We start from the raw sequence: 26,419 nt of genomic DNA, 5'->3' as shown, positions 1-26,419 counted from the left end.
GTGCCTGTAATCCCAGCTACTCAGGAAGCTGAGGCAGGAGAATCGCTTGAACCTGGGAGGTAGAGGTTGCAGTGAGCCGAGACTATGCCATTGCACTCCAGCCTGGGCGACAGAGTGAGACTCCATCCCCAACACCCAAAAAAAAAAAAAAAAAAAAAAAGGCTAATTCAGACCTATTTGTTCTGGTAGGCTTATTAAGTGCCACTGTGGTCACAGCTTACGGGTTTATGGGCCATCTAGGGCCTAAACAGCACCATTTCTTTTATGTTTCTTTTTTTTTTTTTTTTTGAGATGGAGTTTCATTCTTGTTGCCCAGGCTGAAGTGCAATGGTGCAATCTTGGCTTATCACAACCTCTGCCTCCCAGGTTCAAGTGATTCTCCTGCTTCAGCCTCCCAGGTAGCTATGATTACAGGCATGCGCCACCATGGCCGGCTAATTTTGTATTTTTAGTAGAGACGGGGTTTCTCCATGTTGGTCAGGCTGGTCTCGAACTCTTGACCTCAGGTGATCCACCCGCCTCGGCCTCCCAAAGTGCTGGGATTACAGGCGTGAGTCACCGCGCCTGAGAGAACATTTCTAATGTTCTCTCAAACACACCAAGGCAGTGCCTGGGTCCATGCCTTCCAACGTGTACTGCCTGGGAGAGGGAAATACAGATGCCAACAAAGTCTGAATCTGCAGTGGAGACTCAGGGGTGAAGGCAGCATCCTGGCCTGCAGATTGAGAACTGGAGCATGAGGATGGGGAAAGGAAGGAAGAGCCAGGAAGCACAAGAAGGGCCTGCGGCAGGGAGGACAGGTGAGAGAACAAAGGGAAAGAAAAGCAGCTATGTTTGACAATGTCTCAAAATCCGTGGCAAGTAAAAACCCACATTGTATTAATTATTCAGTTTTAAGGAGCTTGGGTTTACATATTCAAATGCCATCACTGGAGGCTGAGTGCAGTGGCTCACACCTCTAATCCCAGCACTTTGGGAGGCTGAAGTGGGTGGATCACTTGAGGTCGGGAGTTCGAGACCAGCCTGGGCAAAATGGTGAAACCCCATCTCTACTAAAAATACAAAAAATTAGCCTGGCATGTTGGCACACACCTGTAGTCCCAGATACTCTGGAGGCTGAGGCACAGAACTGCTTGAACCCAGGAGGCGGAGGTGAGCCGACATCACATTACTGCACTCCAGCCTGGGCAACAGAGTGAGACTCTGTTTCAGTTTACTTATATGTAAAATGGGAAAATGAGGAAAAGCACTTGTTATGGGTTGAATTTTGCCCCCTCCCAAAAAAAGATGTTGGAGTTCTAACCCCTAGGACCCGTGAATGTGAACTTGTTTGGAAACAGGGTCTTTGCAGATGGTCAAGTTAAAATGAGGTACTTAGGGTGGGTACTAATCTAATAAGACTGTGTCCTTATATCAAGGGGACATTTGGATACAGAGATAGGGAGAATGCCATGTGAAGCAGAAGGTAGAGATGGGAGTGTTGCTTCTACAAGCTAAGGAACACCAAAGCATGACAGGAACCATCAGAAGCCAGGGGAGAGGTCAGGAACAGATTCTCTCTCACAGCCCTAAGAAGGAATCAGGCCTGCTGACACCTTACTCTTGGACTTCTAGCCTCCAGAACTGTGAGACAATACATGTCTGTTGTTTAAGCCACCCAGTGTGTGGTACTTCACAGCAGCCTTAGGAAATTAATACAGTATTCTACCTACCTTCTAGAGTAGGATAAAAATGAGCTGGAATATATAAAATCACTTTGGGAAAAACAGAGTATAAAATGGTAGACAAGTATAGGCTATCATCAGATGCCACCTGTGTGCTGATTCAGGCAAGAGTTCCCAGCAGGATCTGAAGTCACCTCCTGGGGCTTTCCTCCTTTATCAAGAGATTTTCACCCAGAAATACTGCTCTGAGTCTAACAGGCCAACTCATGAAATGAAAATAAAGTATGTGTTTTAATACCCAGATTCTACAAATTTTGTGATTCTGGAACCATTCAGGGACCGAGGGCCACTCATCTGCAAAGCTGATGTTAAAGAATTCTGTTTTGGAGTCCTCCTGCCTTTCTTTTTGGCATTTTCTTATCTCTACTCTCAGGTTTTCATAGCCCTAGTTTCTAGCATCTGGTAAATTATTTCTCACTATGATGTTACTGACTAATAGCTACTCTTCCTAAAAGGATCCCTGGAGAGGGCAGAGCTGTAACAAAAGAAGTGACCCTTTCATGGAGCACTTGTGTGAGGGCCTGTGAGGGATAGAGCTGTTGGCTCTGGCCAACACAGAGTATAGAGTGGACAGGGTCACTGGCTTGTGCCCAGACGCAAGCAACTACCATTTGATCACTTACGGAAATATCAAGCTCTTCCATCCTGGATTTGGGGTTCCTCTTGATAGCCAGGATAAGTAAAATAGCCCCATCCATATTTATGGGATTCAGGAAAAGCTATAGAGGGAGAATCAAGACAAGAGGAGGCTGAGATGGGAGGAGAGGCTGGCCCAGAGCACAGTTTCTACATCTCATCAAATCACAACCTCTGTCTCACACCCAGACTTCACTGTAAGTAATTATCTCCTTGTCCTTCTGTTTGTTTATCCATCTGTCTGCCTATCTCACTGCTCATCCATCCATCCATCCATCCATTCATCCATCCATCTACCCACCCATTTATCCATCTCACTGCTCTCCCATCCATCCATCCATCTATCCACCTACCCACCATCTGTCCATCTCACTGCTCATCCATCCAACCATCTATCCATCCATTCATCCACCTATATACTCATCCATCTCACTGCTCATCCATCCGCCTATCCATCCATCCATCCATCCATCCATCCATCCATCCATCCATCCAACCACCAACTTATCCATCTCACTGCTCTCCCCTCCATGCATCCATCCACTCACCCACCCATCTATCCATCTCACTGCTCATCCACCCAACCATCTATCTATTCATCCACCTGTCCATCTCCTCATCCATCCACCTCTCATCCATCCATGCATCCATCCATCCATCCATCCATCCACTCACTTATCCATCTCACTGCTCATCCATCCATCCATCCATCCACTCACTTATCCATCTCACTGCTCATCCATCCATCCATCCATCCACTCACTTATCCATCTCACTGCTCATCCATCCATCCACCCATGCATCTGTCCATCCAACTGCTCATTTATCCAACCATCTCATCTACTCATCCATCCACCTGTCATCCATCCATCCATCCAGCCAGCCAGCAATCTGTTCATCTCACCGCTCATCCATCCATCCATCCATCCATCCATCCATCCATCCATCCATCCATCCAGCACATATTAATTAGAGGCTTGCCATATGCCAGCTACTGCACTAAGCACTGAGGGACACACAGGCAGACATGGCAAGGTTTCTGCCCTCGGGTAACTTAACACTGTAATTGGGGGAGACAGGCAAACAAGCCAATAGCATCAGAAGTGTTATGACAGCAGTGACAGAGGTACACCTGGGTACTGCAGGAGCAAGGAAAGGAGCATGCAGCATAGGGGAGGGGAACATGGAGCTAAGCCTTGCAGGACTAATGAGGATTAGTGAGGTCTGAGGAAGGGGGGCAAAACCAGAGGAGGAAACAAGATTCACCAAAGAAGAAAAGAGTAGGCAAGTGCAAAGGCATAGGGGTGTGAAACAGCAAGAGATGTTTGTGAGCAGAAGCAGAGAGAATGAGGCCACAGAGCTGGGATGGGCCACATCATGGAGAACCTTATAGGCTTGGAGAAGGAACAAGGACATTATCCCAGTGGAGCTAGGAGCTGCTGAAGCATGGATGGAAGTTAATGGAAGGGACTGTGGAGCCTGGTGGCTCTGCTTACCAGCTGCCTGGCCTTGCATTAATTCCCTGATCACTTTGTACTTATCACCTATGGCTGCTCTGAGGACTTACCATATCAATTCAGGCAAAGCATTAAAACAAGTGCCTGGTATGCAGTATGCTGTCAATGAACAATAGTTCTTATTATTGAAGGCTTTCAGCTAAGTGGCTTCAACATGAGGCAGCCAAAACTCTTACTGAGCCCCTAGTATATGTCAGCTGCGTCCCAGGCTCTGATGTACTCCAGTGAGAAAATGCAGACTAGGGCCTGGACCTCGTGGAGCTCAGCATCTGGAATCCTTTGCTGGACTCACTTCCTAATGGGAATTCCTTATTTTTCCAAGCTTAGGGCAAGGGGCATCAGGGCTGGATGTGGAGACCCATAGATAATTCCTGTGGCAAAGTTGATGTGGTCTCCATGATGGCCAAACTAAGAGTTTTGTCTTAAACTTTTCTCTTTTACTTCTAAAACATTTTAGAAAATTGAAATATATTCATTACATATGGTCATTGTGGAAAAATGAGAAAAGCGGTAAAAAATGGTTTAAACCATGTATACCCACAAAACAGCAAAGACCTCTATTGCCATTTTGCTGAGGCAACTGCTTAATCTTTTAAAATTCAGTTTCTCAGACTGTCCCTGGCTTCCTCAGCCACTGGGGCTGAGCCACCCACAGCCTGGGTCAGTCTCTGTCTGAGTTGTGCCTGGCCCCGCTCCACCCCAGCTGGGACTCCCAGATCTCCTGGTCACTAGATGGCCAGTCTGTTTGGTCTGTAGTCACTGTGCTCCTTCTGCCTGTCAGAATCTGGCTTCCTCCTGTCCTCTTAGCAGCTCCTCATGGTTGTCCTCTCAGATGGCAGCCCCTTCCTCACTGTCTCCTCACTGCTTTCCTTCTTCAGGACCCTCACATCTGTGGTCTCTCCAACCACCCTCACATCTTGAGGGAGTTGGAGTTGCCATGGAAAACCACGTACAGCAGGCTTCCCTCTGCCTCCTGCTACTTGTGTGGCATAAGCAATCACACAGCCTCAGTTTTCTCATCTGACAAGTGGGGCTAACAGAGCCCACATTACCAGGTGAGGCTATGAGTAACGACAGCTGGCTCTTGGCAGGTGCCCCAGAAAGGGGGATGATTAATAGAAGTCCTCACCTTTCATTTATTTTCCAACTGCTCAATAGCATCTATATTATAAATTAGCATCTACTAGTAAATTAATTTAAAATGAAATATGTATTCATTAATTCATTCATTCATCAGAAGCACACTGGGCTTCTACAGTGTGCCCAACACTATGCTAGGTATGAGGGACTAGGTATGAGGAGTTTAATGATGGGCAAAACCAGTCTTCATTCTTTTTTTTGAGACAGAGTCTTGCTCTGTCACCCAGGCTGGAGTGCAGTGGCATGGTCTCGGCTCACTGCAACCTCCGCCTCCTGGGTTCAGTGATTCTCCTGCCTCAGCCTCCCAAGTAGTTGGGATTACAGGCATGCACAATCACGCCTGGCTAATTTTGTATTTTTAGTAGAGACAAGGTTTCACCATGTTGGCCAGGCTGGTCTTAAACTGGTGACCTCAAGCGATCCACCCACCTTGGCCTCCCAAAGGGCTGGGATTACAGGCATAAGCCACCGCACCTGGCCCAAACACAGTCTTCATTCTGATGAAGCTTTCACATTTGAGGGGATGACAGGCGAGCAAAGAGCCCTCACATGCATGGAATTAGGAAGGGCAGCAAGTTCCATGGGAAGTAGGGAGCAGGGCTCTGGGAGCAGGTCCCCTAGACGGAGGATCCCAGCAGCAAGCAAGTGGAGGCGGAGTGGCCAAGCCTCTGTAGTAGGAGGAAAGGAGTGGAGAGAAGACCAGGGGGTCTTGGGTGCAGAGCAAGGGAGAGCACCGGGTGGACTGAGGCTGGAGGGGCACTTGGGGCTCAGCGAACAGGATCTGAGCAACAGGAAGCCATGCAGGGGTCTAAGCTGAAAGACAGGAGACTGAGGGGCTGGGGGAAGGGGAATGGATGTCAGATTTGTGTTCAAAAAGCACATTCTGAGGGCTAGGCACAGTGGCTCATGCCTGTAATCCCAGCACTTTCGGAGGCCGAGGTGGGAGGATGGTTTGAACCTGGGAGGCGGAGGTTGCAGTGAGCCAAGATTGTACCACTGCACTCCAGCCTGGGGGACAGAGCCAGACCCTGTCTCAAAACAAAACAAAACAAAACAAAAAGCACACTCCGGTGGCAATGTGGAGAAGATCCTGAAGGAGACCCAGATGGGAGGAAGGTGGAGAAGATCCCGAAGGAGACCCAGATGGGAGGAAGGAAGACCTGTTAGAAAGATCTGCAGTGTACCAGGGAGCACTGAGGGTGACACTGGCTTTATAGTAGAGAATGGTCACTGCATTTACAGTCAAGAGATGGTAAAAAGTACATGCATATATGAAGTACAGATATTCCCAATTATTCTCTCCAGTACTCTGCAGCCCCCAACTTATCCCAACACATACACAAACACACACACACACACACACACACACACACACCCTTTCCAGCTGAAGACTACCTTCAGAACTCTGAGGCTTTCATTGGATTCCAGTCCTTTGCTGATTTTGGAGGCCCCTTCATTGCCGATGTCATTGCCACCGATATCCAGGTAGACCAGGCAGCGGTTGAGTCGGAGGACTTCCCCTAGGGCCAGAGCCACCTCATTCCCAAAGCCATTCATGGAGAGATCCAGCTTTGTCAGGGTCACATTACCCTCCAGGAAGAGGGGAGAACAGCACCAGCATCAAGGTTACGCGTGACTCATCCAACCAAAAGGGTCCCGATTTCTACCCCCTGTTGGCATCCAGACCGGGTGCTCAGTGGTCCCCAGGACTGATGGGTCTGCCAGATCATTCAGAGCTCCCAGCTGGGCTCAGTCTCAAGTACTCATGAGACTCCCTCCCTTTGGCTTCTGGTCATTCCCTACCCACTAATTAAACTGTCCTCTTGAAGTGTATCCAAAGATGTCACCCTGGCCTCAGCAGATACGATTATACTAAAGAATAATGTGCAGGCCAGGTGCAGTGGCTCACGCCTGTAATCCCAGCACTTTAGGAGGCTGAGGTGGGTGGATCACAAGGTCAGGAGTTCGAGACCAGCCTGGCCAACATGGTACAACCCCGTTTCTACTAAAAATACAAAAAATAGCCGGGCATGGTGGCGGGCACCTGTAGTCTCAGCTACTCAGGAGGCTGAGGCAGGAGAATCGCTTGAACCAGGGAGGTGGTGGCTGCAGTGAGCCGAGATTGCACCACTGCACTCTAGCCCGGGCCACAGAGCAAGACTCCATCTCAAAAAAAAAAAAAAAAAGTGCATCCAGGAATTGTGGGAGGGAGAACAATAACTTGAAAAGTATTTGATGAGAGCCCAGTATGCCCTCATTGATGGTGACCATGAGGAAGAGGCTTAGGATGGCAGGATGGGAGGCCCTGGCTGTCCTCAACTGGGCTCCACACATCACTCCTGGAGAGTGCCTTACCCGGAGACCATTGCACAAGGCCACAGCTCCCCTTGTGTGGAAGTTATTCCAGCTCAGATCCAGTGACGTGAGCCCCACGTTGATGGCTGAAACAGGGAGGGAATCGGCTTAGCATCTCCCACAGCCCAGAAAACCCATTCTCAGAGTTAACAGATGTCCATGACACTGGGGATAAAGACCACTCAGTGGTCATGCAAGTAAAATTCTCAGATAATAATTTTTTTAGTTATTCATTTAAACACAAAATTGTAAGATGATCCCCAAAGCTGGCAAAGATGTGGTGAAATAATCCTCCTTACATAGTTTAGGTGGGAAGGAAATTGGTATAGTCTATTTGGCAGATATTATCTGATCACAGATATTTTCCCATTAAAATGTGCATACCCTACTCACCTCTGAGACTCTACCTAAGACTACAGCACAGAATATGGGAAGAGCAAGGTGCTTGTAGATGTTTACCATGGCATCATTTATAAAAGTAAGAATTAGCCAGGCACAGTGGCTCACACCTGTAATCCCAGCACTTTGGGAGGCTGACATGGGCAGATCACGAAGTCAAGAGATCGAGACCACCCTGGCCAACATGGTGAAACTGCGTCTCTACTAAAAATACAAAAATTAGCTGGGTGCGGTGGCGCGTGCCTGTAGTCCCAGCTACTCAGGAGGCTGAGGCAGGAGAATCGCTTGAACCCGGGAGGCAGAGGTTGCAGTGAGTGGAGATCACGCCACTGCACTCCAGCCTGGCGACAGAGCGAGACTCTGTCTCAAAAAAAAAAAAAAGTGAGAATTATTTGGCCAGGCACGGTGGCTCACACCTGTAATCCCAGCACTTTGGGAGGCCGAGGCAGGTGGATCACCAGAGGTCAGGAGTTTGAGACCAGCCTGGCCAACATGATGAAACCCCGTCTCTACTAAAAATACAAAAATTCACTGGGTGTGGTGGCACACACCTGTAGTCCCAGCTACTCAGGAAGCTGAGGCAGGAGAACTGATTGAACCTGGGAGGCGGAGTTTGCAGTGAGCCAAGATGGTGCCATTGCACTCCAGCCTGGGTGACAGAGCAAGACTGCATCTCAAAAATAAATAAATAAAAGCAAGAATTATTTATCTGGTGGAATATTATGAATTAAAATAGACAGAAGTAGCTGGAAAACATCTTCAGGGGCTGTATTTACACAGGAAGGCTGTGATGGACCTGGCATATTACGTCACATGATGCCTATCATGGCAGGCCACGGCTGCAGTGGTGACTCCAGAATTTCTCTCCAGCAGAGGCTCAGGGGCACAATCAGTTGGAAGTGGGGAGGCACCAGGCTTGGCGAGAAGCTGGGTTTGCACAGAAATCATACTTTTGTTTTGACCTGAAGATGATTTTGCTTACATGTTCCACAGGGTTGGAACATCCTATTTAAACACATTATTATTGTTGTTTTTATTTGGGGAGGGCAGTTATGCCAAGGAGGCCATTGATGGAAAGGCTAAAGTCCTCTTGAACCATTACTGAATGGGAGGATAATGGGAGGAATTGCCTTTAGGCCTCTGGCCCAGGAATAATGTCTTATTTCTTTTCTTTCTTTCTTTCTTTCTTTTTTTTTTTTTTTTTTTTGAGACAGAGTTTTGCCCTTGACAATCTCGGCTCACTGCAACCTCCGCCTCCTGGGTTCAAGCGATTCTCCTGCTTCAGCCTCCCGGGCAGCTGGGATTATAGGCGCCTGCCACCACGCCCAGCTAATTTTTTGTATTTTTAGTAGAGACAGGGTTTCATCATGTTGGTCAGGCTGGTCTCGAACTCCTGACCTCAGGTGATCCACCCGCCTCGGACTCCCAAAGTGCTGGGATTATAGGCATGAGCCACTGCACGGGCCTATTTCTTATTTTTCATGGACAGTGCACTACGTTCTGATCATGCTTCTCTTTGTGTCAACCCTGGGTGTGAGTTTTTAGTAAAGTGCACAACACCTTATATAATTTTGGGAACAAACTTTCTCCTGCCTTCATTACCCCCTCCCCTCCTTCACTCTCTTTTTACCCTTATTTCCTCTTCTCTGCCAATTCCCTCATTTAAGCTACACCTTGCACACCTGCATCACTCAAATGGCCACACAAGTTAGATTATAATTCTGATCTCACCACTTACTACCCATGTGATCCCAGGCAGGTTACTTATCCTTCCTTTACATCTGTTTCCTTATCTGTACGATGGAGATATCAACCTGTATAGAGTTGTTTTGTTTTGTTTTTTTGAGACGGGGTCTCCGTCTGTCGCCCAGGCTGGAGTGCAGTGGCGCAATCTCCGCTCACTGCAAGCTCCACCTTCCAGGTTCACGCCATTATCCTGCCTCAGCCTCCCGAGTAGCTGGGGCTACAGGCACCCACCACCATGCCTGGCTAATTTTATGTATTTTTAGTAGAGACGGGGTTTCACCGTGTTAGCCAGGATGGTCTCAATCTCCTGACCTTGTGATCCGCCCGCCTCGGCCTCCCAAAGTGCTGGGATTACAGGCGTGAGCCACCACGCCTGGCCCTATATAGAGTTTTTTTTAAATGAGGATTGATGTAAAATGCCCAATTTGATGCCTGTCACATAGCAATCACTTCAAATAATAAGTGTTGGGTTTTTTTTTTGTTTTTTGGGTTTTTTTTTTTTGAGGCAGAATTTCCCTCTTGTTGCCCAGGCTGGAGTGCAGTGGCACGATGTCTGCTCACTGCAACCTCTGCCTCCCAGGTTCAAGTGATTCTCCTGCCTCACCCTCCCGAGTAGCTGGGATTATACACCCAAGTCACCACGTCCAGCTAATTTTTTGTATTTTTAGTAGAGACAGGTTTTCACCATATTGGCCAGGCTGGTCTTGAACTCCTGACCTCAGGTGATCCACCCGCCTCGGCCTCCGAAAGTGTTGGGATTACAGGCATGATCTACCCCGCCCAGCAATAGTAAGTGTTTTTAAAAGCTGCACTTGCAGTACGATTATAACAATTTTAAAAGACAGCACAGGCCCGGGGCAGTGGCTCACATCTGTAATCCCAGCTCTTTGGGAGGCCGAGGAGGGTGGATCACTTGAGGTCAGGTGTTGGAGACCATCCTGGCCAACATGGTGAAAACCCATCTCTACCAAAAATACAAAAAATTAGCTGGGTGTGATGGCTTGGGCGTATAATCCCAGCTACTCAGGAGGTTGAGGCACGAGAATTGCTTGCACCCGGGAGGCAGAGGCTGCAGTGAGCCAAGATTGTGCCACTGCACTCCACCCAGCCTGGGCAACAGAGCGAGACTCCGCCTCAAAAACAAAACAAAAGAGAGAGCACAGTCTGTCTCATGTTAAATTTATGACCTCAGTTTTCAGACAGAGACTCAAACTGCCCCACATGGAAAGGTGCTTCCATTACATGTTGCTCCTCCCTCCTGCATGGTATTTTATACCTTCTGCTCTCCCATCAACCCTAGTGGTCTGAACTGAACTTTCAGCTGAAGATCTTGCCTCCTACTTCACTGAGAAAATAGCGGCAATGACAGGCTTCAAATGCCACCATGAAATCTACCCACTTACTGCACCCGCACCCACCCTTTCCTCGTCCATTTTTCAATGAATGAACTGTCCCTCCTGCTCTCTCAGGCCAGCGAGCTCCGCACTTTTGTTCTGGACTCTATTGCCTGCAGCCTTCTCATGGACTTTGCTCCTGTAATTACCTCCTCCTTCTTCTGTAGCATCAGTTTATTCTTCTTTCTTCCTCTCAGCATTTTCCATCCTTAAGAACTCTCCTTGGACTCTATGTCTCCCTTGGCTCCTGCCCCCTTTTTCTGTTCCAACCTTCCCAGCAGAACTTCTGTGGTTGCGTATAGTGTTCTTTTTGCTTTGCATCCTATTTTCTTTTTCTTTTTGGAGGACAGGGTCTCACTCTGTTGCTCAGGCTGGAGTGCAATGGCATGATCACAGCTTACGATAACCTCTAACTCCTGGGCTCAAGCAGTTCTCCTGCCTTAGCCTCCCAAGTAGCTGGGACTATAGGCATGTGCCACCATGCCCAGCTAGTTTTTGATTTTTTTTTTTTTTGAGATGGAGTCTCACTCTGTCACCCAGGCTGGAGTGCAATAGCAGGATCTCGTCTTTTATTTATTTATTTATTTATTTATTTATTTATTTTTGAAAGTAATATTTTATTTTATTTTTTTATCATACTTTAAGTTTTAGGTTACATGTGCACAACGTGCAGGTTTGTTACATATGTATACATGTACCATGTTGGTGTGCTGCACCCATTAACTCGTCATTAAACATTAGGTATATCTCCTAATGCTATCCCTCCCCACTCCCCCCACCCCAGGATCTCATCTTACTGCAACCTCTGCCTCCCAGGTTCAAACGGTTCTTGTGCCTCAGTCTCTCTAGCAGCTGGGATTACGGGCGCACACCACTACACCGGCTAATGTTTGTATTTTTAGTAGAGACAGGGATTCACCATGTTGGCCAGGCTGGTCTGGAACTCCTGACCTCAGGTGATCCACCCGCCTCAGCCTCCCAAAGTGCTGGGATTACAGGTGTGAGACACTGTACCCAGCCCAACTTTTGAATTTTTTGTAGAGAGTGGGTCTCACTATGTTGCCCAAGCTGGTCTTGAGCTCCTGGCTTCCCATCTTGGCCTCCCAAAGCACTGGGATTACAGGCATGAGCCACTGTGCCAGGCCTCCATTTTCAACTCAACCTCCTCCATTTGGGTTTCCATAACTCACCCACTCCACTAAAACAGCACTTTTTTTTTTTTTAAATTTTAAGTTCAGGGGTACATGTGCAGGTTTGTTATATAGGTAAACTTGTGTCACAGGGTTTGTTGTACAGATTATTTCATCACCCAAGTATTAAGCCTAGTACTCAGTTATTTTTCCCGTTCCTCTCCCTCCTCCCTCCCTCCACCCTCAGTTAGTCCCCCAGTGTCTGTTCCCCTCTCTGTGTTCGTGTGTTCTCATAATTTAGCTGCCACTTATAAGTGAGAACAGGTGGTATTCGGTTTTCTCTTCCTATGTTAGTTTGCTAAGGATAATGTCCTCCAGCTCCAACCCTGTTCCTGCAAGGAACATGATTTCAGTTTTTTTGTGACTGCATAGTATTCCGTGGTGTATATGCACCAAATTTTTTTAATCCAGTCTACTACTGATGGGCATTTAGGTTGATTCCCTGTCTTTGTTACTGTGAATAGTTAAAATAGGACTTTCAAAGCCACTAACACTCCATGCTGCCAAGTGCCATGGTTACTATTTTATCCTCGTCTTATTTGATCTCTCAACAGCATTTGATGCAACTGTCGATCTTCTTCCTGCACTGCACCCTTCCTCGGCTCCTGCCACCTCGCTTTTCTGGTTTCCCTCCTATTTGACTGACCACTCCTCAGACTCCTCTTCCTCCTCTGTGAAACCTAAAAATGTCGGAGTGACCCAAAGGTCAGTTCGACGGCCACCTACTCAACTCTGTCTACACTCCCTGACTAGATGACTTCATCTTGCCTCATGGTTTTAAATACATCTATATACCTATGACCCCAAATGTGTATCTTCAGCCCTGATCTCTTCACCCAGCTCTAAACTCATATAGCAAACCATCTACCTGACTTCTCTATGTAGGTTCAAATGGCCATTGCAAACATCACGTGGCCAAAATGGAAAACGGGGCTCCTATCTCCTGTCCCTGTTGCTCCCTGAGTTGTCTCCATCCACGTAAACAACACCATCATCCAACCAATAGCTGAAGCAAAATGACCATGAGTCTATCTCTCTCTTTCCCCCATTCTTCACATCAGCAAGTCCTTTTGGCTTTACCCCCAAAGTATATTCTGAATTCATTCACTCTTCTCTATCCCCACCTCCTCCCTGAGCTCAAGCTATTTTCCTGTCTTGCCTAGACTCCTGTGACAACTTCCTCTTTTGTACTCATTTGCCTGGGGATGACTATTTAGGTTGTTACTATTTTTTTTTCCTCTTTTATGGCGATGCTGTAATAACCTCCTCACACATTTCTCTGTGTATGTGTGAGAGCTTCTCTGAGACAATTCCCCTTGATGGGAGGGAATTTCTGCATCATAGAATAGACACATTTTCAAGTTTACCAAGGACCATCAAGTTGTTCTCAAAAGTGCCCGGCAGCTTGAAGTATTCTTATTTCGCTCGGTTGTCCGCAGCCTTTGACATTCACTGGCTTTAAAATTTCACAGCTTTAAAGATGACAAGGAGAACCTTTCATTTCTCTAACTAGTTAAGAGATGTGGGCACTCGACTTTCTTCTTTTGCTATGCATATGCCTTGACCATTGCTCTATTGAGGCTATTTATCATTGTCTAATTGAGCTAAGGATCTTTTATCAACATTCTGAATACTATTTTTTGTACTCTACAAATGCTGCAAATATCTACTCCCTGTCTGTTGCCTGTCTTTGTTTTTGTTTTTGAGCTGGAGTCTCCTTCTGTTGCCCAGGCTGGAGTGCAGTGTCGCCATCTTGGCTCACTGCAACCACCGCCTCTTGGGTTCAGGTGATTCTCCTGCCTCAGCTTCCCGAGTAGCTAGGATTACAGGCATGCACCACCACATCCAGCTAATTTTGTATTTTTAGTAGAGATGGGGTTTCACCATGTTGGCCAGGATGGTCTTGATCTCTTGACCTCGTGATCTGCCCACCTCGGCCTCCCGAAGTGCTGGGACTACAGGCGTAAGCCACCACGCCCAGCCTGTTGCTTGTCTTTTAAGGTTGTTCATGGTTGTGTGTCTTTTTATCATATGCATGTTTCAAATGTATTGTTGTCAAATATGGGAATTTTTAAAACTTTTAGGTTCAGGCCTACATGTGCTGGTTTGTTATATAGGTAAATTGCATGTCCCAGGGGTTTGGTGTACTGATTATTTCATCACCCAGGTAATAAGCATAGTACCCAAAAGGTACTTTTTCCATTGCTTTTGGACCGTTTATGCTTACTGGGCCATACTTAAGAGTCCTTAGCCTTCCTGAGTTGTTAGTTGTTTCTGTGTTCTTCTAATCATCGTAAAGTTTTACTTCCCATGTCCAGGTGTTTGCTGCTGCCCCTCCCCCTCCCTCTTCCCCTTCCCTTCCCCTTCTTCTTTTCCTTCTTCTTGTGCTTCTTCTTTTGAGACAGGGCCTCTCTCTGTTGCCCAGGCTGCAGTGGAGTGGCACAATCATGGCTCACTGCAGCCTCTACTTCCTGGGATCAAGGAATCCTCCCACCTCAGCCTTCCGAGTAGCTGGGATTACAGGTGTGCACCACCACACCTGGCTAATTTTTTGAAATTTTATAGAGACAGGGTGTCCCTGTGTTGCCCAGGGTGATCTTGAACTCCTGGGCTCAAGCAATCCTTCTGCCTCAGGCTCCTGAAGTTCTGGGATTACAGGCATAAGCCACTGCACCCAAATTCTGAATGTATTTTGGGCATGTTTACATCACTTTTATAATCACAACATTTAAAAATCATGTTTAAAAGGGAGATTCCGCTCTGCCAAGTGATTCTTCCCTATCCCTCCCCTTTGCTGTCCCTTCCTCCAGGGAGACTCACCCAGCATCTGGCCCAGGTGCTCCCCTCCTACATCAGAGAATTGGTTGTGACTGAGATCCAGCTTTTTAATTTGGTAATTGGTCTACAGAAACAAACAGGGGAAAGAGAAGGATTTTTTGTCTTCTGATTGCAAATATCTTACTTATCTCAGGGCAGTATGATGGTGGGGCTCTGATGTACCAAAAATTAGGTGAAGACAATGTCTTAGGCATTTTTTGTTGGACTGTTGATGGCTGCTGGGAGAACTTAGTGCCATATAAACAGCTCTACCATTTGCTGTGCCTTTGTTGGGGTTGGCAGGGTCTAAACACTCCCCAGTCCCTAACATGTGAAAGTAGCCTCACGTTACTGTGCCCATAGCAGCCCCAGGTTGCCCAGATCTCCCAGGGACATCGCCCACGTGGCTTGGCTGCACTCCCTGCCTCTTACCGACAGGGCTTGGCAGAGCAGTGCTGCGGAGTCTTCCTTGAAGTCATTTCCTGTAGTGAGGGTGGTGTGTCAGTGATGCACTGCTAGACCATGGCTCCCTTCCTCTCCCACCCCCTGCCCCTCCCAGTCCACTTCCCTTTAGAACAATCGAACAGAAAAAAGGTGGTAGGGGCCAGACGCATTGGCTTACGCCTGTAATCCCAGCACTTTGGGAGGCGGAAGTGGGAGGATGACTTGAGCCCAGGAGTTTGAGACCAGCCTGGGCAACATAGTGAGCCCTTGTCTCTACAAAGAATTTTTAAAAAAATTAGCCAGTCATGGTGGCATGAACCTGTGGTCCCAGCTACTTTGGAGGCTGAGGTGGGAGGATCACTTGAACCCAGGAGGTCGAGGCTGCAGTGTGCCATGTTGGTGCCACTGCACTCCAGCCTGGGTGACAGACCAAGATCCTGTTTTTAAAAAAAGAAAAGGAGCCTGGGTACTGTGGCTCATGCCTATAATCCCAGAACTTTTACAGGCCAAGGCGAGTGGATCACCTGAGGTCAGGAGTTCGAGACCAGTCTGGCCAATATGGCAAAACCCTGTCTCTACTAAGAATACAAAAATTAGGCATGATGGCGCACACCTGTGGTCCCAGCTACTCAGGAGGCTGAGGCACGAGAAATGCTTGAATCTGGGAGGTGGAGATTGCAGTGAGCTGAGATCACAACGCCACTGCACTCCAGCCTGGGTGACAGAGAAAGACTTCACCTCAAAAATAAAATAATAAAATCAAATAAAAAAGGAAGGGACAGGACAGGACAGGAAGGGACTTAAAGCAAGTATTACATGGACAAAAGAGAACAAGGCAACTGTTTACCCTCTCTTTTAACATTGCCTTTTCTCTCTGCCATGAACTTCCAGGAGTTGGTAGCATACCCTGTGCATTCATTAGCAGCATCAACCCCCAGCCTAGTGCCTAGAGTCTATAACATCCTAAAAATGCTCATCCAAGTTCAAGCAGCAGGACTGGGACACCTGTGAGTGAGACACTTACCATGTGTGCAAAATTTAAGAGGTGCCTAAAAACTCAGTAATCAAGAAGAATAATATCCTAATACAACATTTTAAAAAACCAAAATTAGTGTAAAATCATCTATATTGAACAAGTTTTTTTTTTTTTTTTTTTTTTTTTTTTTTTTTTTTGAGACGGAGTCTCGCTCTGTCACCCAGACTGGAGTGCAGTGCAGTGGCGTGATCTCGGCTTACTGCAACCTCCATCTCCTGGGTTCAAGCAATTCTCCTGCCTCAGCCTCCTGAGTAACTGGGATTACAGGTTGTGCACCACCACACCCAGCTAATTTTTATATTTTTAGTACAGACACAGTTTCAACATGTTGGTCAGGCTGGTCTCAAACTCCTGACCTTGTGATCTGCCCACCTCAGCCTCCTAAAGTGCTGGGATTCGCACCTGGTGTCTTTATAATTTTAAAATCTGACCCTGCACACACATGACTAGACCTTATTCACCTCAGTCCATTCAATCCCTGCTAGATGCTGTTTTTATTTAATGTCTTGATATTTTGCACATCAGGATATTTTGGCACTCCTTACATTTTGTGACCAACGCAAATGGCTCACTCACCTTACCTGAGTTGTGGCCCTGCTAAGCAATGTAAGACACTGGTGATTTCTGGGAAGTACATGACATAGAGCCTTATTCCCAAATTTCCTCCTTTGAACCCTCAATAATCTCTACCACCTAAATAGTGCTTGGCACATAACAGGTCCTTAGTAAAGTGAGTGAATGAATGAATGAATGAATGAATGAATGCATTCACTGGAACACAAATACTTGTTTGGCTGTGTCTGTTAGCAGTGCAATAAAGTGAGATAATAAGCTAGTCAATGCATAAAACTAGGTGATTAGTTATTCAAATTCTTGTGTTTAAATCAGTGGTTACAGATACTACAGAGCTGGTTGTAAGAGAATTATTTGTGAAATTTGATAAAACACAGATTCCAAGATTTCTCCTGCCAAAGATTCTGATTTCACCAGTCTGGGATAGGACTGGGTGATTTGTATTTTTACAAAGAACTTTCTGTACTATGTTAACACATTATGTTAGGGGTCTTAGCCAATGCAACCAGAAAAATAATTAGGAGATATAAATATTGGAAAAGAAAAAACTTTCATTATTTGCAGGTATAATCACCTATCTAAATAATTCTATAAAATTAATTAACAAAATGTTAGAACTCATAAGATAATTTAATAAAGTGACTGGATATAGAATTAATGTACAAAAATTAATAGCTTTCAGACACACCGGTAATGACCAATTAGAAAATGTGATAGAAAAAAACATTCTGTTCACATAAGATAAAATAATAGAAGACCTAGAAATAAACCTAATATAAATAATGCAAGGCTTATAATAGAAGAAACTAAAACTTTACTCAAGAATGTAAAAAGACCTGGGGCTGGGCACAGTAGCTCACACCTGTAATCCCAGCACTTTGGGAGGCTGAGGCGGGTGGATCACCTGAGGCTGGGAATTCGAGACCAGCCTGACCAACATGGAGAAACCCCATCTCTACTAAAAGTACAAAATTAGCTGGGTGTGGTGGCACATGCCTGTAATCTCAGCTACTCGGTAGGCTGAGGCAGGAGAATCGCTTGAACCCAGGAGGCAGAGACTGCAGTGAGCCAAGATCATGCCATTGCACTCCAGCCTGGCAACAAGAGTGAAACTCCTTCTAAAAAAAAAAAAAAAGAAAAAGAAAAAAAAAGAATATAAAAATACCTGAAGGAGTAGAGATAAACCATGTTCATAAATGAGGAGACTCAATATTGTGAATGTCAGTTCTTTCATAAATTAATCTAGAATATTAAATGGAACCCCAACCAAAACCCCAACAGGTGTTTTTTTTCTTTTTTTTCTTAAATAGAACTTGACAAAATGATTCTAAAATTCACCTGGAGGAGAAACTGCACAAGAATAGCCAAGACTACTATTACTTACAATACTAATAGCCAAGATTGCAGAATTATTTTGAAAAAAAATTCAAGATTACTTTGAAAAAAAGATTCAAGATTACTTTGAAAAAAGGGGTAGTCTTTGCCCACTCACACACGAAACATATTTATTGGCTGGGCACAGTGGCTCATGCCTGTAATCCCAGCACTCTGGGAGGCTGAGGCAGTTGGATCACTTGAGGTCAGGAGTTCGAGACCAGCCTGGCCAACATGGCAAAACTCTGTCTCTACTAAAAATACAAAAATTAGCTGGGCATGGCAGCAGGCGCCTGTAATTCCAGCTACTCGGGAGGCTGAGGCAGGAGAATCACTTGAGCCCAGGAGGCAGAGGTTATAACAAGCTGAGATGGCACCACTGCACTCCAGCCTGGGCGACAGAGGGAGACTCCGTCTCAAAAACAAAGAAATGCAAAATATTTATTATAAGATTTTATAACTTATATATTAAATAGTACATCATCATTTTTTGTATTAGTCACAACATCTTATGTTATAATATGTAGTAATTATAATTTTAATATTCTAAACAAATATTAAGACAATGCAGTGTTGACATAGAAATACATAAATAGGCCAGGTGCGGTGGCTCATGCCTGTAATCCCAGCACTTTGGGAGGCCGAGGCAGGCGGATCACGAGGTCAGGAGATCAAGACCATCCTGGCTAACACGGTGAAACCCCGTCTCTACTAAAAATACAAAAAATTAGCCGGGCGAGGTGGCGGGCGCCTGTAGTCCCCGCTACTCGGGAGGCTGAGGCAGGAGAATGGTGTGAACCCCGGGGGGCAGAGCCTGCAGTGAGCCGAGATTGTGCCACTGCACTCCAGCCTGGGTGACAGTGAGACTCCGTCTCAAAAAAAAAAAAAAAAAAGAAATACATAAATAGATTAATGAAATAAAATAGAGACTCTAGAAGGAAACCTATATTTATAATGGAAGTTTAATACATGATAAAGATGACATTTCAAATTAATGAGAAAAGGATCAATTATTACATTGATGATGCTGGAGTACCTGGTTATCAGTTTTGGAAATAAAACATCTGATTTCTACTTCATTCCATGCACAAACAAGTACTAGATATATTAGAGAGCTAAGAGTAGAAACCACAACAACAACAAAAATAGAAGAAAATAAAGGAAAATATTTTTACCTAATTTTTTTTCTTTTTCTTTTTTATAGATGGGGTCTTGCTATGTTGCCCAGGGGGGCCAGTCCTGGGCTCAAGCAATTTTCCCACCTCAGCCTCCTGAGTAGATGGGACTGTCGGTACATGCCACCACTCCTGGTTCAGGAAAATATTTTTATAAACTTTAGGAAAGAGTTTTAAAGCCAGGCTACAAAAATTAAATACATAAAGGAAAAAGACTATAAAACTTGACATCAATAAAAGATATAAACTTTGCTACAAGAAAGTACCATAAACAGGCTGGGCACGGTGTCTCAAGCCTGTAATTCCAGCACTTTGGGAGGCTGAGGCGGGCAGATCACAAGGTCAAGAGATCGAGACCATCCTGGCCAACATGGTGAAACCCCGTGTCTACTAAAAATACAAAAATTAGCTGGGTGTGGTGGCGGGCACCTATAGTCCCAGCTACTCAGGAGGCTGAGGCAGGAGAATTGCTTGAACCTGGGAGGCGGGGGTTGCAGTGAGTCGAGGTCGAGAAAGTACCATAAATAAAGCCGTATCTAACATTCTAACATTCAAGTATGAATATCTATAGTTTATGAAGAATGGCTAAAACTCAGTCACACTAACAACCCCATACAACAATTGACATTTCATAGAAAAGAAAATAGAAGTGGAAGTGAGCTTCTGAAAAAGTGTTCTATTTCAATAGTAATAGAATGTGTAACAGTAACAAAGACAATAATAGCGAGAAACACATTGAATACTTATGTACTAGGTATAGTTCTAGGAGTTTTAGATTTTAATTCACTTAATCTTCACAATAACCATCTGAGGTAATATAATTATCCTTATTTTATGAATGAGAAAATGAGGCACAAACTGTTTAAAAAACTTGCCCAGTGTCAAAGCTGGGATTTGAACCCAAGCACTGTGACTTCTACACCCACATGCTTAACCATTTTGATTCACAAATTGCTTGTTATTTCCCTTCTGGGGATGGTATAGGCAACAGTCCATTGGTAGAATTATAACCTGGCAGTCTTTTTAAAGGGAAATTTGGAAATCAGTTGTTAAGTTCACAAAAATGGATACATCTTCATATTCAGTAATTGTGCTCCTGGGTGTCGATCTAGAAATACAAGAACATGTGCCTAAAAGATACATGTACAAGAAAGTCCTTTAAAACATTACTTGAAGGCAAAATTAGAAATGACTTTAATCTCCTTTCTCCCAAATAGGGGGATGTTAAATAAACTATGGTATGTCCATAACTCAGAATACTAGCCAGCAGTTCAAGAGAATTAGATAAATCTATTTGTTCTGCCATAGAAAGAAATCCAAGACATATTTAGTGGAAAACAAGAAAAATTGGAGAACAATAACTGACATGTAAAAACATTTATGTTAAAAATACACGAACTAAGGCTGGGCATGGTGGCTTATGCCTGTAATCCCACCACTTTGGGAGGCTGAGGCGGGAGGATTGCTTGAGCCCAGGAGTTTGAGACTAGCCTGGACAACATGGTGAGATGGGGACAACCCGTCTTTATAGAGAAAAATACACAAACTTTATTTCTGTATTTTTTCCCTAGACACTCTTCAGATCTTCTCTGTGTGTTAATGGTTTTTCAGAGATATAATCAAGTGTGGATTCTTTTTTATATACCTTTCTTAGGAGTTACTGGGATTCCTGTATCTGCACATTTATCAATTCAGGGAACATGTTAGCTGTTATTTGTTCAAATATTGCTGCTCATTCATTTCTTCTCCTTCTGGAAACTAGTCATTCATTTCATTCTTTTATCTTTTATATTCTCTATGTCTTTGTCTTTCTATGCTGCAAAGATAGATAAAATGTTTTCCACTAATTCTATTCACCTGTAACTAATGTGCCATTGAATTTATTTGTTCAGTCTTTAATATCAGTGACTATAAATTTTTCATTGTAAGAAACCCTTGGTGTGGAGAGGAGGGGAGGTCTCTTTTTAAGTGATTTGTTCTTTTATGATTTTATTTTATGTTCTTAATCATATTAAACATAGTTTATGATTGGGTGCAAGATATCTCAGTTTGCTTGTGGTTCCAGTTAATTAATAGTTCCCTATTCAGTTTGGGTGGTAAAGTACATGATAAATTATTGTTTATATATCATCTGTAATGTCAGATATGGATGATAAATGGCGGGGGCTAGGGGAGTGTGACTGGGAGGGTTTAGCAGGCATAGATGCAGTATTCTGGTCTCCAAGACTAGAAGGACATGGTCTGGTTCAATGAGACATTGAATTCTCTGTTTTTCCCCTCTTCCCTCCCTCTGATTCCCAGTGTCTTCTCCCTCCCTTTCCATGTGCTCACCTGAAAGCTCAAGGCTCCAGATAGAAGAACTGTTTCTCTCAAAGAAATCTGAGATGATTCTGGCCCCCTCCAAACCAAGGTGATTGTTGGAAATATTCTAAAAGGCAAGAAAACACTTCGGTATGTAAAAAAGCTCACCAAAGGGCCCTCATGAAAAAATGATGTCTTTTGTGGTTTACTTGAGTCCTGTGCTGAGGGAGTAGGGTTGGGGTGGGAAAGGATTAGGAGGATTAGGGAGGTGCCAAGGACGAAGAGAAGGGCAATAGGAAACCGGGCTCTAGAGCCAGCTTTTCCAGGGCCTCCCGGTGGGACCCGTGGGCTAGCTGGTCTCAGTTTTTTGAAGTTGGCTTCAAGGACTCCCTGTTTTCCCAATTTAGCCTTGGTGCTTCAGATAAGCATACTATTTTGTTTCTTTGTATTAAAACCCAAAACAGCTTCATTTGGAGAGCTTGGCAGTGAAACAGTGAAAAATGAGTTTAGAGTGCATAATCATTGTAAATTCTACTCATTGATTTGGGAAGTATGAATTGTCCTTTTAAGCTAGTGGGAGAGACTTTATATAAAGTGGCCATTATTGTCTTAATTGGTTGTTCCCCCTTTTCTTTGAATTTCTTTTTATGATGGTAAAATAAGCATAACATATTATTTACCATCTTTGCCGTTTTTCAGTGTCCAGTGGCGTGGTATTAAGCATATTCACATTGTGTAACCATCACCGCCAGCCATCTCTAGGCACATTGTCTTTTATGACATTATTTCATGTCTTTACTTTCTTTAAGAAAGTTCACTTTAAGGCAACTATGCAGAGCTACATTTATCAATTTTTTTTTGAAACAGAGTCTCACTCTGTCACCCAGGCTGGAGTGCAGTGGCGTCATCTCGGCTAACTGCAACCTCTGCCTCTGGGGTTCAAGTGATTCTCCTGCCTCAGCCTCCCGAGTAGCTGGGATTACAGGCACACACCACCATGCACAGCTAAGTTTTTATATTTTTAGTAGAGGCGGGGTTCCACCATGTTGGCCAGGCTGGTCTTGAACTTCTGACCTCAGGTGATCTGCCCACTTTGCCTTCCCAAAGTGTCGGGATTACAGGCGTGAGCCATCATGCCTGGCCACATTTATCATTTTTAAGGGCTTCTAAGGTCCAGACAGAAGTGGTTTCTTTTTTTTTTTTTTTTTTTGAGATGGAGTCTCATTCTTGTCGCCCAGGCTGGAGTGCTGTGGTGCGATCTCAGCTCACTGCAATCTCCACCTGCTGGGTTCAAGCCATTCTCCTGCCTCAGCCTCCTAAGTAGCTGGGATTACACCACCATGCCTGCTAATTTTTGTACTTTTAGTAGAGACGGGGTTTCACCATGTTGGCCAGGCTGGGTTTGAACTCCTGACCTCAGGCGATCCTCCCACCTCGGCCTCCCAAAGTGCTGGGATTGCAGGTGTGAGCCACCGCGCCCAGCCATAAATTGTTTCTTAGGTTTTCCTACAGCCATAGGAAACACAGCCTCTCACATGTGGCCCTCCTCTAAGAAGTCGTGTGGGAAGGGCAGGGGCGGGCAGGAGCCTGGAGGCAGCCTGGGTCCTGGCAGGGCCTCTGGCTTGTCTCCAGTGGGTTGTGAATCCCCAGGGATGATGGTAAGAGCCAGCACAGGGGGGCACAGTACCATCTCCTGGAGGTAGTAGTTCTCTTGTAGCATCTCCACCAGGCTCAAGACGCCCTCCTCCATGATGCAATTGTCTTCCAGCTCCAGTTTGGTAACAGCCATGTTGGACTTCAGCCAGCACAAGGGGAGGGAGAGAGACACAGAAGTGGTTGGTGACCCAGTCAGTTCCCTGCTCGCCCTGGGCCAGCCATGTGAATGGGCGTGGAGATGCAGGCTAGGAATTCTGAAGGCCTGGCAAGGGCGAGGAGACCAGAACGGGGGCTGAACCAACCCGTGGAGTTTTGCTAGGACAATACGCTGATTCTGGGAGAATTTATAAAAGGATCCTGAAAGCAATTAAAACCCTGACAAGTTGGAGGCACAAGGATGAGCTAAACAGATTTTAACTATTTAGCCCTAAGGGGACAGAACTGTGACCTACTCCAAGATTAAGGAAAACTTGATACATTGAATAAGGATATTTAAACATAAAGATTCTTGCAAGGAGGTCCTTTAAAGCATTGATTTTGCTTTCTTCAGAGGCCTTTCTTCTAATTTACGCTTAAGTTTTATCTGGGACACTCTTTTTAATTTGTATTCATTTATTTATTATTATTTTTTGAGACGGGGTCTATGTTGCCCAGGCTGATCTCAAACTCCTGGGCTCAAGTGATCCTCCTGCCTTAGCCTCCCAAGTTGCTGGAATTACAGGCATGAGCCACCACACCTCGCTCTGGTACTCTCTTTACTAGGAGGTGACCTCAAGTCTGTTTGGAAGGAATTGGACATATAAATCTTTGGTGAATATCTAGATCCAAGATAGTCTGCATTTCTTTTTTTTTTTTTTTTGAGATGGAGTCTTGCTCTGTCGCCCAGGATGGAGTGCAGTGGCGTGATCTCGGCTCACTGCAACCTCTGCTTCCTGGATTCAAGCAATCCTCCCTGCCTCAGCCTCCTGAGTAGCTGGGATTACAGGTGCCCACCACCACACCTGGCTAATTTTTGTATTTTTTTGAGTAGAGATGAGGTTTCACCATGTTCACCAGGCTCGTCTTAAACTTCTGACCTCAGGTGATCCACCCGCCTTGGCCTCCCAAAGTGCTGAGATTACAGGCGTGAGCCACTAGTCTGCATTTCTATGAGGGGCAAGAGGAGAGAGAGGAAAGGATTCGCATTGCAGCATGAAGGACTTGGGTTAGCTCTAATCAGAACTTTGATCTTCCCTTCCCCACCTTGTTCCCAGTACACACAGGTACAGAGAACAGACACAGGTTTGGATTTGAGCATTTTCAAGGCCCACTAAGGAGCAAGAGAAGTAGCAGGTGGAAGGAGTGTTAATGCTGGTCCTCCGCCACCCTCTCCCCTGAAAAAGGAAAATGTGATAGTCCAAGCTATTGCAATGCAGGATGGTTCACCCTGGGGCTTCCTGAAATGTCTTCTGGTCTCAGCTCTCTGGGCTGAGCAAAATTCAATTGCCTTGAGTTGTGCTCAAAGGTGAGGGAGATGGCTCAGGGGGCCTCCCGTCTAGGTGCTATTTAGGAGTGTCTAGAAACATGAGTCGAATCACCACTGCCAGATTCATACTGGGGACCAGCACATTCCAGGGGGAAGCAGGAGGCCCAGTCCCCAAATCCATCCACATTTATTTCACACGGGCCATTGTCTATTTGTCACTATCTGTGTTCACTGCTGGGGAACAAGGATTAACAGAGAACATTCCCATTCTCACACCACCTGCTGCCCCCACATGCAAGGGTACAGTGCTAGGCTGTCGAGGGATACACACAAGGATGAAATACGATGCCTGCTATTAGCGTGCTCCTAATCTAGGCCAGGGAAACACAAACATGTGAAAAGTTAATCAGTACAAAGAGCAAATAGAAGTTCAGTCTACCAGAATGTCATGATGATTAATTGTCAAATGAATGATACAGAGAATGGGGGAAGAAGAAACTCCCCTCAAACAGAAACCGCTGTTACTACGAAACAAGTGGTCCAAGTCCTGAGAGGATGTCATTATCATCCATGTTTTTCCCACGAAGCTCATGAGGTAATGGTGCGTTCCTAACACTTCATTAATCAGCCTTTCCACCCTTGATAAATCTCAAGACGGCTTTGTTCTTTCTCGGCTCCTTTCTTCCCATCCCCGGAAAACAGTGCAATCTCACATTTTGTGTCACTTCTTAAAGTGCACACAAATGCTAAACGCAAATGCTGTTATATGTTTAAGAAAGAATGAGTGTGTTGGGGAAAGTGAGGAAAAATAAGACCATGTATTCTACAAATACACCATTCAATGCCAAGTGGGGGCTAGGCACTTGAATAGCACATAAGCCTATCCTTATCATACAAGGAACTTACATTCTAACAGTGATTACAGTAGTTCACCCCTATCCTTGGGGGAAAACATCAAGACCGCTGGTAAATGCCTGATACCAAAGATAGTACCAAACCCTAAATATACTATGTTTTTTTCCTATATATACTTACCCATGATAAAGTTTAATTCACAAATTAGGCACAATAAGAGGGTAACAATAACTAATAATAAAATAGAACATTTATTATAATATACTATCATAAAAGTAATGTTGCCAGGGCATGGTGGCTCATGCCTGTAATCCCAGCACTTTGAGAGGCCAAGGCGGGAGGATCACTTGAGGCCAGAAGTTCAAGACCAGCCTGGCCAACATAGTGAAACCCCATCTCTACTAAAAATACGAAAAATTAGCCAGGCATGGTGGTGCGCACCTGTAATCCCAGCTACTCGGGAGGCTGAGGCAGGAGAATCACTTGAACCTGGGAGGTAGAAGTTGCAGTGAGCTCAGATCATGACCCTGCACTCCAGCCTGGGAGACAGAGTGAGACTCTGTCTCAAAAAAAAAAAAAAAAAAAAAAAGTGATGTGAATGTGGCATCTCTCTCTCTCGTTC

At 45.2% G+C, this 26,419-nt stretch overlaps 1 protein-coding gene across 13 annotated transcripts in view; it reads right to left on the bottom strand.

The window, feature by feature from the left end:
• Positions 1-26,419, bottom strand: part of LRRC74A (leucine rich repeat containing 74A) — a 43,897-nt gene that overhangs the window by 10,482 nt on the left and 6,996 nt on the right. For 4 of the 13 annotated variants that reach the window (XM_047431014.1, XM_047431015.1, XM_011536487.2 and 1 more), the window contains 7 exons: positions 23,509-23,616; positions 21,852-21,948; positions 15,351-15,400; positions 14,922-15,003; positions 7,373-7,458; positions 6,413-6,537; positions 2,356-2,443 (listed from right to left, as the gene is read on the bottom strand). In XM_047431014.1, coding sequence (XP_047286970.1) covers positions 6,415-6,537; positions 7,373-7,458; positions 14,922-15,003; positions 15,351-15,400; positions 21,852-21,948; positions 23,509-23,616 — 546 coding nt within the window. In that variant the 3' untranslated portion in view covers positions 2,356-2,443; positions 6,413-6,414. Of the gene's footprint in view, positions 1-2,347; positions 2,444-6,412; positions 6,608-7,372; positions 7,459-14,921; positions 15,004-15,350; positions 15,401-21,851; positions 21,949-23,508; positions 23,617-26,419 lie in introns of those variants that run through there. The other 9 variants (XM_017021035.3, NM_001385106.1, NM_194287.3 and 6 more) reach the window with 5 other exon arrangements.

The sequence above is a fragment of the Homo sapiens genome, chromosome 14 (assembly GCF_000001405.40).
Source record: "Homo sapiens chromosome 14, GRCh38.p14 Primary Assembly".
NCBI lineage: Eukaryota > Metazoa > Chordata > Mammalia > Primates > Hominidae > Homo > Homo sapiens.
The sequence above is the reverse complement of the archived record's forward strand: the minus strand, read 5'-3'. Positions and strand labels throughout refer to the sequence as shown.